Source organism: Homo sapiens, chromosome 14 (assembly GCF_000001405.40).
Source record: "Homo sapiens chromosome 14, GRCh38.p14 Primary Assembly".
Lineage (NCBI taxonomy): Eukaryota > Metazoa > Chordata > Mammalia > Primates > Hominidae > Homo > Homo sapiens.
Window position 1 is genome coordinate 99,166,854 of NC_000014.9, and position 12,589 is coordinate 99,179,442.

At 48.7% G+C, this 12,589-nt stretch overlaps 1 protein-coding gene across 6 annotated transcripts in view, besides 1 other annotated feature; it reads right to left on the reverse strand.

Moving 5' to 3' along the window:
- The window catches only part of BCL11B (BCL11 transcription factor B), a 102,911-nt gene continuing 92,755 nt past the window's right edge, over positions 2,434-12,589 (reverse strand). For all 6 annotated transcript variants that reach the window (XM_047431708.1, NM_001282238.2, NM_001282237.2 and 3 more), the window contains one exon: positions 2,434-9,342. In XM_047431708.1, coding sequence (XP_047287664.1) covers positions 7,298-9,342 — 2,045 coding nt within the window. In that variant the 3' untranslated portion in view covers positions 2,434-7,297. The remainder of the gene's footprint in view (positions 9,343-12,589) is intronic.
- Positions 7,381-7,896: an enhancer, noted in NCBI's record as "H3K27ac-H3K4me1 hESC enhancer chr14:99640571-99641086 (GRCh37/hg19 assembly coordinates)". NCBI's record gives its function as "activates a minimal SCP1, AML or CMV promoter by ChIP-STARR-seq in naive H9 embryonic stem cells {active_cell/tissue: H9 hESC(naive)}" and the evidence as "EXISTENCE:reporter gene assay evidence [ECO:0000049][PMID:30033119]".

A 12,589-nucleotide genomic window follows, 5' to 3' on the forward strand; every position in this document is an offset into this window, starting at 1 on the left:
GCAATTAGTGACTAAGGCTTCATTTGCGCACAAGAAAGTCAGAATTTTTATCTTCCCTAGCTCAAAAGTTACGTGAGACTCATTCTATATTTCCATCACATTAACATTAAAAAAGAAACCCAGCAACTTCTATTCATCTAGTTTTATCGACGAAGCAGACAGGGAGGTTTTCTAGTTTTAATTGCCCCAAACCACAATTGGGAGTGCTTGGAAAACATGGGGACCTTGTGGCTTGCACGGTGGCTGCAGACTCCAAGTCAGAGCCAACAGTAACGTGGGATTTTCTGTTCTTGAGAATCCATCCTCCTCGCCCTGATTTTTGTAACCTGAACAGCAAACATTTCTGACATGACCTTTCCCATCAAATCTTGTGACTCTGTGCACATGTGGCACTCTCATCAGGGTCCAGCTGTTCAAAGGCAGAATGGTTCCTTCCCAACTACCTTAACTCTCCATTTTACAGATGGGGAAACCGAGGTCCAGAAAAGGGAAGGGACTGACCTAAGGTCACAGAGCTGGTTACAGACCAGACAATGGTGAGAACTGAAGTGAGCTTTTCCTTTGTCCCATGGGTAATCACCAAGTTTGGCCAGAAGTATGAATGACAGGTATTCATGAGTGTTAACTCCCTCCTCCCAAGCAATTCTTGGTACTCAACCTAGGAGTTTGTTCCCCATCTCCCCGAGATGAGCATATCCTGCTGTATTCCAGCCAGAAAGTAACTGAGCATTTCAGTTCTGCTATTTGCCTAGTTTTCTGGGTGGGAAAGACAGACACATTAAGGTTTGGCCAGGCACGGTGGGAGGATTGCTTGAGGCCAGGAGGTTGAGTTTGAGATTAGCCTGGGCAACATAGAGAGACCTCATCTCTACAAACAACAAAAAAATAGAAAAAAATTAGTGGGCATACTGGCACACACCTGTAGTCCCATCTACTTTGGGAATTTGAAGCAGGAAGATTACTTGAGCCCAGGAGGTTGAGGCTGCAGTGAGCTGTAATTGCACCATTGTACTCCAGCCTGGGCAACAGAGAAAGACCCTGTCTCAAAAAAAAAATAAAAATAAAAAATAAAAAATAAAAAGGCCCAAATATCTGTGTTTTAAAGCCCACTGGGGAAAAGACTTGGAGCCCAGGACCTATGGAAAAGAGAATTTTCTCTCTGGGAATTCTTATTCCTTAAGACCCTAAAAAGTAAGGCAAGTGTCCCAAATAACCATCAGCTCCATTTCTTGTGCTGGAGTTCAAACCCCACTTCTTGTCCAGCGGCCTTGGGAGAACAATGGCTTGTGTGGGGTGAAGACAGGACATAGAAGAACGTGCTGCCCTTCTTTTTCTTCTCATCTCTGTGAGCAGAGAGCCCACAAATCACCTTAGCAAGCATGGCTTGGTATTTTCATTCTTGTAAAGTCTCTTTATGAAGATTCTTGGGCTGCCTGAATTCTTGGTACCTGGTTCACATCAGTGCCCAATGATAGTTTGCAGAAGTGGTATAAGCAGATTGTTCTTTGTCCCTTTAAGAACAGAAAACATAGAAAAAGAATGGTCAAAAACCCAGTGGGCGCTTTGTTCCTTCATGCTCAGGGGTGGACTCCGCCTCTCTCTTGCTTAAATGGAGAAGACCAAAGGTGCCTTCATGCCTCAGTGTGACTGGAACCCAACAGCCCTGCCTCCTTCCACCCCATCTTGTTGGCTGCTCCAGGCCCAACACTGGGAAACACCGAATTAAAGCTACTTCATTCTGCAAGGCCTGATTTTGATCATCTCCAGTGAAAGTCTCCTCAAATCTGTTAACATCCAGCACATGGGACGGGAAGGATATCCTCCCGTGTGATTTTGTTAAAACTCATTCATGAGTTTTAACAAAATTCATCAACCTCATTTTATAAATGGGAAAACCAAGGGGACCTGCCCAAGGGCACAGAATCATTTAGACTCTTGGGGCAGGGTCTCCTTCTCCCTGAATTTTGATCCCCCCATGGCTCACAACAGCTCTCCCTGGGTATTGAGAAAATGGGAGCTGTATTAGGCTCAACTTGAGTCTAATCATTCCTAGCCAAGTGTATTTTCTTTTCAACTACTTGTTCACAAGCTCAGTTGGATAGGAGAATCACCTGGATCATTTTCAAAAATGCTGATACTGGGACCTGCCTCCAGAGATTCTGACAGAATTGGTCTGGGATGTCTCCCGGGCCCTGAGATTTTTGAAAGCTCCCAGAAGATTCCCATGTGCAACTGGGCTGAGAACCACTGTTCTAGATCACACTGCTGCACAGGAGCTAAGAGAACTATAGGGCTCTCGTGCCATGATTTCCTGTCATCCTCTCGATGGGCTTAAAGATTTGGGTCAGGAAGAAAATGGAGAAAGACTTTCAATTTGCCCTTGGAAATAAGCTGTCCATCCCCCACCTTTAAAAGACACAGAAAAGGACAAGGTTTGGAGATCAAGTTAAATGTCCAATTTATTTTTATAACTTGAAACCAGAACAAACTTGGTTTTGAACAAGCGTACAAATGAAATGGCAGACACATGCTGAACTCAACATTGTGACATTAAGGAAAAAAAGAGGCCCAAAATCTTGTACAGAGAATAAAGGAACAATAAATATTTTACTAAGCCATATTGAAATGACCTCCTGTCATCTCAACATTTTATCCATAATAAAAAAAAGTGCCTGTTTCTTAAACAGAGCACAAATACCAAGCAATAATAAATAGTTCCAAACTTGTAGTAAAAGACAAAACCTCCAAGTAAACAACAAAAGCTCATACAATAAGTAATAGAAAAGGTAATAAAAATATTTTGCCTTGCCAGTACAAATGCAAACAACTTAAATCAATGGGACTTTGCTTTGCAGGGCTGAGTTACAAGGAGCACCAAAATCACGGGTTTGCCTGTGTTCCACGAGACCTTCGGCTGACGGTTACTTAGGACCGGGATGAAAGGCTGATTTCCTTACTTTTCACATTTTGCTTAGAGTAATTCAGTCTCCTTCTCTCCCCATGAAAGACCCTCTAATGCCAAGTGGCAGGTTCCAATTGGGGGCAACTTTGAACAAAGTTGTGGCAGTGCGGAAACCGGCCTGAGGTCGGCTGGGTCACCCATGCTAGAGGCCTCTCTCTCGGGATCATCTGCTTCCGTGTTGGTTTTTTAAACACAAAACAGAAGCAAAATTCTCTCTTCTCTGCAGTCACAGAGACACACAATGCTTGTGCTTTGGGATGGCTTAGTCCTGGCAATCTGGTAAGCTGGTGAGCACTGGCTAGCTGTTATGACTACAGGAAGACCACCCTGGAGGCACTCTAGGACCTCAGTGGGGCATCCAAAGGCAACAGCAGCCCCTGGATCTGCAGGTAGGAAACTGCAGTAGGAAACTGAAATCTCAGCTTTCTCTCCCATTCCCTCCCCCCTTTTTTTTAACTTTGCAAAGGTAAGTGGCAAGGAGGAAAGAGTGCATCGAACAGAAAAGCTTCTGCATTTGGTAAGGAATTGCCCAAAAGGATGCTTGGTTATACTTTCATAACCTGAAATAATGGTTTCTTACATTTCCTGAAATAAAAAATGGCTTCCTGATATTGGTATTTTATTTAAAAATGCATTATTCCCTCATCCAAAAGACCACCACTTTATCTTAAAGCTACTTGGCTTTACAAAAAATAAAAATAAAATAGAGGATTAGGGGAGGAACAGACAGGAAGAAAAGAAATTAAATAAAAAATGAAAGAAAAAAAAAGGACCAATGGAGGATGAAGGATGGAGAGGAAACGCAGGGGAAGGAGAGAGAACGAGATATGGAAAGGCACCAAATTCATCCCAGGCCCTCGCATTCGGAAACTGACGGAATGTAGGTTTCAGAGAGCAAAGCAGCAAAGCAGGGAAGAAAGACAAGAGGCCAACACTCTCCATGGCACGAAAGGTCCTGGCTGTGATGGAGTCTCCTTCCTGAAATCCAATTTGTACCGGTCTCAACAGCAGGTCACTTCACCTGGACCCAGCTGAATCACCAGCTCCTTTTATGATATTTGTGTTTGTTTCACAATTTCTCAAGGACTAAAGCAGCTCAGTTTGCATTGCTTTCTGCTGGTAAGGGCGGGAGAGGTGGTGGTGGTGACCGCCACAGGAGTGATGGTAGAGAAGGAAGATGTTCTCTCGCTCTCTCTCCTCTACATCTGACATCTTAGAGATGGCCTCTTAGAGAAAGGGAGGACGATGTGGAATGTTACTGACATCTTTACAAAAACTGATTTTTTTCCACTCAACACAAATAATTTCCCATCTGGTCTGCTGTGGCCACACCAAGGAGCCTTGATGCAAGGTTCGGGGCGTTCAGAGAGAAGCCCAACACGAACGGTTCTCTGTGTAGGCCAATTCCGACAAAAAATATATACAACTAAATGATTTGTGAACCAAAGCATTTAACTACTTCCTTTTGTTTCTTTTTCTCAAAGGTTGTCAAACAACCCTTTTTCTCCTGTACAATAGGACTTAACATACAAATGTGTTTTTTTTGCAATATTTTATCCTGCCAAATTAAAAAAATATATTATGGCAGCCTGTTTGTTTTTGTTTTTTTTTTCTTTTTATTTCCAAATTCACTAACAAAAAGGTACATTAAATCCCTTTAAAAGGACAAGCTTACAGTTAAAAAATTACGAGCTCCAGTAAAAATACAGCAAGTGCCTACATCATATGAACCAACCAATATATCCATTCCAGAGGGAGGCGGGAAGAGAAAAATAAGTACAGGTCAGAAATGTGATTTTTTTTTTTTCTGCAAAGCAATAACAATATTAAGCACTTTTTTTCTACATACTTTTTCTACATGGTGTAGCAATCCCCTTTGAATCCCCAAATACAAGTTTCTATACATTTTTTTTGAAATAAAAATTCAACACCCAAGGCAGAAAAAAATTTACTAAAACTCCGACTTTACAGTTACTGTAACAAGAACAAATTTATAGACCCACCATTTAAATTTTACTGCAACATTTTCAAGGAAAAGAAAAGGGTATTTTTTTTCTTGTTTTGTAAAATGCCCAGGCATTCTCGATTATTACAAATACTGGTCCACTTTTACAGTAATCAAGAAATTTTAATATATATAATATATACTAAAACCCCGTCACCAAAAGAAAACAATATACACGCGGCCACTGTGGCATTTTTGTATAACCTATTAAGCAAACTTTGAAAAAAAAAGATCGCTCCAACACACATACACACAATTTTTTTTTTACCCTTGTATGTACCCAATACTGTAAACGTATTTTTAAGACAGAGTGCACTAAATTTAACTTTAGAAAAAATTAGCCGTTGTTCCTGAATTGTTTTTGTTTTGCTTTTCATTCAACGATATCAACTTGTAACTTGTGTCACTTGAGTTTTAATTCAGCAGTAAATCACCTCCACTCCATATCTAAGCAGCGTTGTCCCAAAAACAAAAGGGGCTGAGGATAATTCAGCTAATGGATGTCCAAGGTTGTGCTGGGTTTATTTCTTCATTTGATTGGGTCTTATGGCATTTCATATCCTCTATCTTCAACCAGAATTTTTTTTTTTTTTACTTAAAGTAAATGTGGCTTTGTTAGTTTCTAAAGAATGTACTTTTCTTGTTTTACTTTTTTAAAAAGTCTTTTCATTTCAAAAAAAAAGTTTTGCATTTGTCTCAAGAGACTCAAATAGGAAGATCAGTTTTCAAGGCACTCACATCAAATTGAATGGCAGTAGAAAAACTGTCCTATAAATTATTATTTTATTTTGTTCTTTATAGTGCCAGTATTGTGAATGCCACGCTTAGCAATACTGACACTCAATCTCAGCTGTCCCTTACAGTTTAACCCACCTCTGGGCCAAAGAGAAGAATATGCTGCAATTTCTTGTTTAGAAGCCATTTAATTTAAATGCAAACAAAAGCTTTAAAGTGCGGGTCAACAGAATTCAAATGTCTAATCTTAACAGTTCAATATTTAGTACCTTCCAACCTAATGAGATAGGAAAAAAAAAATAAAAACCTGGGAAGTAGCGCTGGGCACCTTCTGATGGAACTCATCCCCTGCTTTTTCAGTAAAAGAGAATAGAAATTTGCAAGATCCCCACCCCACCCATCCCTACAATATCATCAGTGTGCATTAAATGAGAGAACACTAACTTCAATTAATTAGGGCATTCGTCTGCTTGGGAAATGATGGATGACCCCTTGTAGCAACATAGGATTTGAGATTTATGTGGTGGGGGTGATTTAAAAAAAGAGAGAAGCCGTCAAGCCAGAAAACGCCTAAAAGAACACCGCTAGTTTCTTCCTTTCTGTGTCACTGCAGGCCACCCCATCTCCCCAAAAAGGTACCCTCAGCCCATTTTATGTAGCCTAATCTACAGCGAATAGCAGCCATGGCACCCCAGGGCACACCAACAGGATAGTATCTGCTGGTCATGCACAACCTCAGAATGCTGTCGGGCCATTTCCCAGAGGAGCCCTCCAAAAACCCTATCTCTGGCGGCGCTGAGTCTGTGGGGTGCCTCCCCCAGCACCACCACTCAAGGTTTCCCTTATGTAATATGAAAGCCGAAATCAACACAGAAAAGGCCGCTTGACTCGGGACGACATGAGTGCTACATCTCCATTCCAGTTCTGAAACAAAGTGCTACGACTTGAAAGATTGTTATCCGCTGTACATCCACACCCCCCACCCCAAAAACAAAAACCAAAAAAAAAATTAAAAAATAATTAAAAAAAAAACTGCATGCCACTTTTTATTTCAGGACAAAAAAAAGGAAGGAATGAAAAAGTAAACAACTTTAAAAGTCATTTGAGTGTTGGCTTCTTCACAAGAAATTACACATGCTTAGCTTAAATTTCAAAAAAGCAGCACCACCCCTCCCCCCAAATTATAATTTAAAAGATATGCTTCCCCTCTAACATTGCTTGCGAGTCATTGCTCAGGCTACTACCGGGTTAAAAAAAAAACAAAGAAGGGATGGATACCCAACAAAATCTCTTAAAGGAATTCAAACAGAAAAAATAATAATAAAAAGTACCTGCACATGCCAAAAAAATTACAAAACCCAATAAATACAGAAATTATTGCACAGTTAAAAGGCTCCACAATTTGTACTGCCTTAATCAACCCTCGGGTTTCCATAGGACTTCGCAGACACAGGTTAGGTTGGAGTGCCGCCTCCCCTGGGCCCCGGGGACACGCGGGGTGCGGGGTGGCGGTGACACGGAGGCAAGTCAGGTCAGCATTCTCTCGGTTGGCAACGGTTCCACTGTACAGGTGCGGGGCGCCGGGGCCCGCGCGCTTAGCTCCTCTCGGCCTGCTCGATTTTGACGTCGTTAGTCAGCAAGTGCTCGCCGTGCCACTTTTTCATGTGTTTCTCCAGGGTGCTGTAGACGCTGAAGGGCATCTGGCAGATGTCGCAGCGGTACACCTCCTTGCCGATCTGCCCGTGCGTCTTCATGTGGCGCGTGAGCTTGCTGCTCTGCGCGCACGCGTAGTTGCACAGCTCGCACTTGTAAGGCCGCTCGCCGGTGTGGCTCCGCCGGTGCACCGTCAAGTTGCTGCAGTTCTTGAACACCTTGCCGCAGTACTCGCACGTGTCGCTGCGGCGGCCCTCCTTGGAGCTGGGCCGCCCGGGGCCCGGGCCGCCCAGGTGCGGGGTGCTGCCTCCGCTGGCCGTGCCGCTGCGGCCCGAGAGGCCGCCGTCCAGCAGGTCCCCGGGCGGCGTGGAGAAGCGCAGGCTGCCGTTCTCGGACGAGTGCTCGGACGACGTGGCGAAGGGCGACTGTCGTGCGTCCGTGAAGCCCAGGAAGGGGTCCTTCATGAAGTGCCGCGACGCCGCGTAGCCCACCAGCCACTGCGAGTACACGTTCTCGGACGGGATGAGCGCGGCGGGCGGCAGCTCCAGGTCCTTCTCCACCTTGATGCGCTTGGCGGCGCTGTTGAGCCCGGGGCTGGGCAGCGGCGCGGGCTTGCGCGGGAAGAGCCCGGGGAAGGGCTCGGTGCCTGGCGCGAAGCCGCCCCCGCGCCCGTTGACCGCGCCGCCCGCGCCCGCGTCCCCGCAGCCGCCCGCGTCGTCGTCGTCGCCCGCGTCCCCGCCGCCCGCCGCACGCTTCAGGAAGGCGCCGCGCTTCTGCTTGTCGGCCAGGAGCTCGCCGTACTGCGGCAGTGCGCCTAGGCCCACGTTCTCCATGACCTTGCCCAGCACCAGCGCCTTCTCGTCAGCCAGCGCCTTGGCCGCGCCGCCCCCCGCGCCCGGGACCCCGGGCACCCCACCACCGCCGTTCTCGCGGTTGCGGCTCAGCTCCGAGTCCATGCTGAAGCTCGACTCGGGCCGGCTCTCGTTCTCCAGTAGCAGCTCCTCCTCCTCCTCCTCCTCCTCCTCGTCCTCCTCCTCCGGCTCGTGGCCCAGCGACGGGTCGCTCTCGTGGTGGCGGAAGTCACCGTCGGCCGCCTTGAGGCCCTCGCCCGCCAGCTCGCTGGTGCCGGGCTCGGGGGAGCTGGCGGCCGAGAGCCCGTCGTCGGAGCGGCCGGCCAGCGAGCCGGCCTTGTGCATGTGCGTCTTCATGTGGCGCTTGAGCTTGCTGGCCTGCGAGCACGCGTGGTCGCACAGCTGGCACTTGTAGGGCTTCTCGCCCGTGTGACTGCGCCGGTGCACGATGAGATTGCTCTGGAACTTGAAGGTCTTGCCGCAGAACTCGCACGACTTGCTCTTGGCTGGCGGCTGCGGGGGCGGCGTGCCGCCAGGGGGCATGGGCGGCAGCGGCGGCGTGCTCAGGAACGGGGACTTGGGGCTGGGCTGGAAGGGGTTCAGGAGCCGGTGCATAGGGTTGCCGCGGCCCGGGGACACGGGCGGCGGCGTGGAGCTGTTGCCCGCCAGCTCGCGGAGCCGCCGCGAGAAGTCCATGGCGGGCGAGTCGATGGCCATGGGGTTCAGGCGCATGACTCGGTCGAAGGCACTGGGGTGCTGGGCGACGAGCCCCATCTCCTCGGCACTGAGGCGGTGCGGGTCCAGGTGGTGGCGCGGCGGGGGACTGAAGAGAGGCGGCGTGCCCGGCAGGCGGCCCTCGCCGAAGCCCGGGTGGTCCCGCAGGATGGGGCCCGTCATGCGCAGCAGGTTGAAGGGGTTGCTGTCGCCCAGGAAATTCATGAGCGGGGACTGCGCCACGGCCTCCGGCCCGAGCGGCGGCGGGATGGTGAGCCGCGGCGTGAGCGAGCTGCTGGCCGGCCCGGGCTCCAGGTAGATGCGGAAGCCGTGCGTGTTCTGCGCGTGCTGCAGCAGGAACCACGCGCTGTTGAAGGGCTGCTTGCATGTTGTGCAAATGTAGCTGGAAGGCTCATCTTTACCTGGGGAAACACACGGACAGAAAGGCAGAGACAGCGTGAGAAGCGGCAGCGGGGCGCGGGCACCGCAGGGCCACTGGCCTGGGGGACGCGGCCCGGGCTGATCCGGGATCCCAGTGCCCTGCCTGACAGGGGCTGCAGGGCCGCTTGCAAGCAGGCCCGGCCTTGTCTCCTCCTGGCTGGGGGGCCGAAGACGCAGGTCTGTGGGCGGGCCGCCCTGGCCACCCGGGCGCCAGCGACTTACTTCAATTGTGTAAGACCCGCCTTGCTCCCCCAAAGAAAAGGGATTCTGATCTCCATTACCTCCGAGGCCACGGGAGATCGTGTTTGTGAGAATACGGTCCAGTAGTAGGAATTCTGTCAAGGCTGGACTGTGTAACAGCCCTGGCAAATCCCAGCCCTCGAGGATGCTCCACACCCGAAACCATCTAGGCCAGGGCTTCTCAGTCAAGGCACTACTGACATTTACATCCTAATTCTTTGGGCGGTGGGGGCTGTCCTGCGCATTGCAGGATGTTTAGCAACATCCTCTGCCTGCACCCACTAGATAGATGCCAGGAGCATCCACCTCCCCCGGTTGCGAGGACCAAAAATGTCTCCAGGCCTTGCCGAATCTTCCCAGGGAGGGGGGCAAGATCACCGACCCCTTTGAGAACAACCAATTCTGATAATATTTGATTCCAGGGAGTTGTACAGAAACACAAATCAAACTGTACTATCCTGCAAACTTTTTTTTTTTTAAGAGAAATAGCTGCAATACCTCTGCAACATTTGGGATTTTTAGCTATAGGAAATTCTCGTGTTTCCTACACCACCGTCTGTGCAGAAAGCACTGTACACCTGAATATGGATTCCTAGGAACAGAAAAAATTTAACATGCTGTGAAGACCGGCTACTACTGTGACAGCTGCCCCCACCCCGTGTCCTCACACACACGCCCAAACACCGCTTGGAATTCCACCTCCAGACCCCAGGGAAGGCGGGGGCACACTGGCCTACATGAGTCTTTCAAAGTCCTCTGCCAGAATACTAAGCAATGAAAGAACATCCTCACATCTGACAGGGCAGTCAGGATGAACAGTGGCAAATGCTGATGTGTTAGCAACTGGCTCTGGTGACACGGGCAGCAAATTGTAGCGAACACTCGTGGTATGGAGCCAAAACGTCATCGTCTGTGTCCATCACTGAGACAATCACAAAATGGAGGCTGAACATTTCCTCCGGAACCCATCCTGCAAGTGCCCTCCTGCACCTGGGGGTGAAGCTCGCCGCTTTTCCAGTATGTACCTCTCCTAATGCTCTGCATAAAAGAGACGGTGCAGACAGGACCCGTCTTGCAGCATTGCACTCACTAGCTGGGGATGCAAGAGGAACAAGAATCCCAGCTCAGATCCAGCAGAAGACATGGCATGCGAGATCTTGAAAGATCCCTTTTGTTTTCTCAAACTTTCATCTACCTGGAAGATTTTAACACAGATGCTAAAGTACAGGGGCCACAAGCTCTGGTGAAGTCAAACGTGCAAATGAATGACCCTTCCCAATATCGGTAAGTTGCCATGGGAAGTGGAGAAAACAGTCCCCTGTCTCACTCTCTCCACCAATCGATTACAGGCCTTCTGAAATCCTAGGCAGACAGCATTTTTGTTTTCCACCCACTAATTATGTTTCTGGAAGGCTGCACTCTTAGCAGTGTTTATAGGCACATAAACTTTCATTTGGAAACCATCTTTTAAAAATCAAGTGACTCGGGGACCAAATACCCTGAATTCCATCCAAGGTCTTGAGTGTGGCCTGTGCCTCTGCCTGAAACTGGACTTGCCAGTTTCTGAGGGGCCGGGACCTCCCCAAGACATCGCATGCCTGCAGCGTCACAGAAGGCTTCGTGCTGTCCGAGGGGCAGGGTGGAGACTCCCCCCGCGACCTCAGAACCAGTTGGCCCAGGACACCAACACTAGAAACCGAGCCAGGCTGTTACAAGTTTGGCATTACATAGGGATTCTTTCCCTCTCCTCTCCTATTCTGTGTGTTTGGTGATGAGAAGACGGTGGTAGGGAGGACAGAAATGAAAAAGGAATTCTGAAGTTCGGCCTCATCCCTCTTAAAAACAGCTCAAGGAGCACCTCTGAGGCTATCTTCTTTCTCCAGGGTGTCTGGGTCATTTCCCTCTCTTAGTCATCCAGGTAACTCAGTTCTCCCATGAAAGAGCCCCTGAGGGGAAACCTCCCCACCTAAGATAGGGCAGGGACGCCTTCCCAAGGCCCTGGGTGGCCGCGATTCTCCCTGTAAGGCCACCCCAACACCACAGCCCTCCTGCTCTGTGCACTCTCAGCGAACAGAGGAAGTGCCCAGCTTCCCTGGTTCTGTCCTACACTTATTAGTGATTGTACTTGGGGAACAGCACGCCTTAGCTCAGACAGCCTCATAGGAGAGCTGGCCAGAAGCCATATTTAGACGACTCCTCACACCCTTTTTGGGAACAAGGCAGAATAAATAAGTAATAAAAAAAGAAGCTAGATAAACATCCTTTTCTGACACAGGAGCTAATAACACAAATGAAGTGCCCCTTCCTGCAGGGTTATAGATCTTCAAATTAAAGATCGTTCCTGTACCCTGCACCACCCTTCAGCCACTCTAATTAATCAATTCACAGCTTTCCGTCGCTTTAGTTTCTCATGTTTTCAAGTCAGGCCACCTCCCTTCCCCCAATCTCTTTTTCATCATCTCTGTTTCCCTGGGAAGTGCTCCAAAGCACTTCCTGTTTCTTGATCTGGGTGGCCACAGATTTTCTAGAAAGTTCTGTGGCTGGTGAGGAAAGAACATGGCTATCAGAGGAAAATGCAGAGCGCTTACGCAGGCCAGCAGTGAAGGCGGCTCTACAGCTGAAATGGCCAAGTCACAGGTTTTTCAACTCAAAAGGGCAGTTACTGGAAGTCAGGTAGCTACAAGTGCTAAAGAGCTCAAGTGTTTCCACTTCTTGTTTGTTTGTTTTAAATGCTTCTGGCTGGGCACGGTGGCTCACGCCTGTAATCCCAGCACTTTGGGAGGCCGAAGCGGGCGGATCACTTGAGGTCAGGAGTTCAAGACCAGCCTGGCCAACATGATGAAACCCCATCTCTGCTAAAAATACAAAAATTAGCCGGGTGTGGTGGCATATGCCTATAATCCCAGCTACTCAGGAGGCTGAGGCAGGAGAATCGCTTGAACCCGGGAGACGGAAGTGGCAGTGAGCTGAGATCGAACCACTGCACTC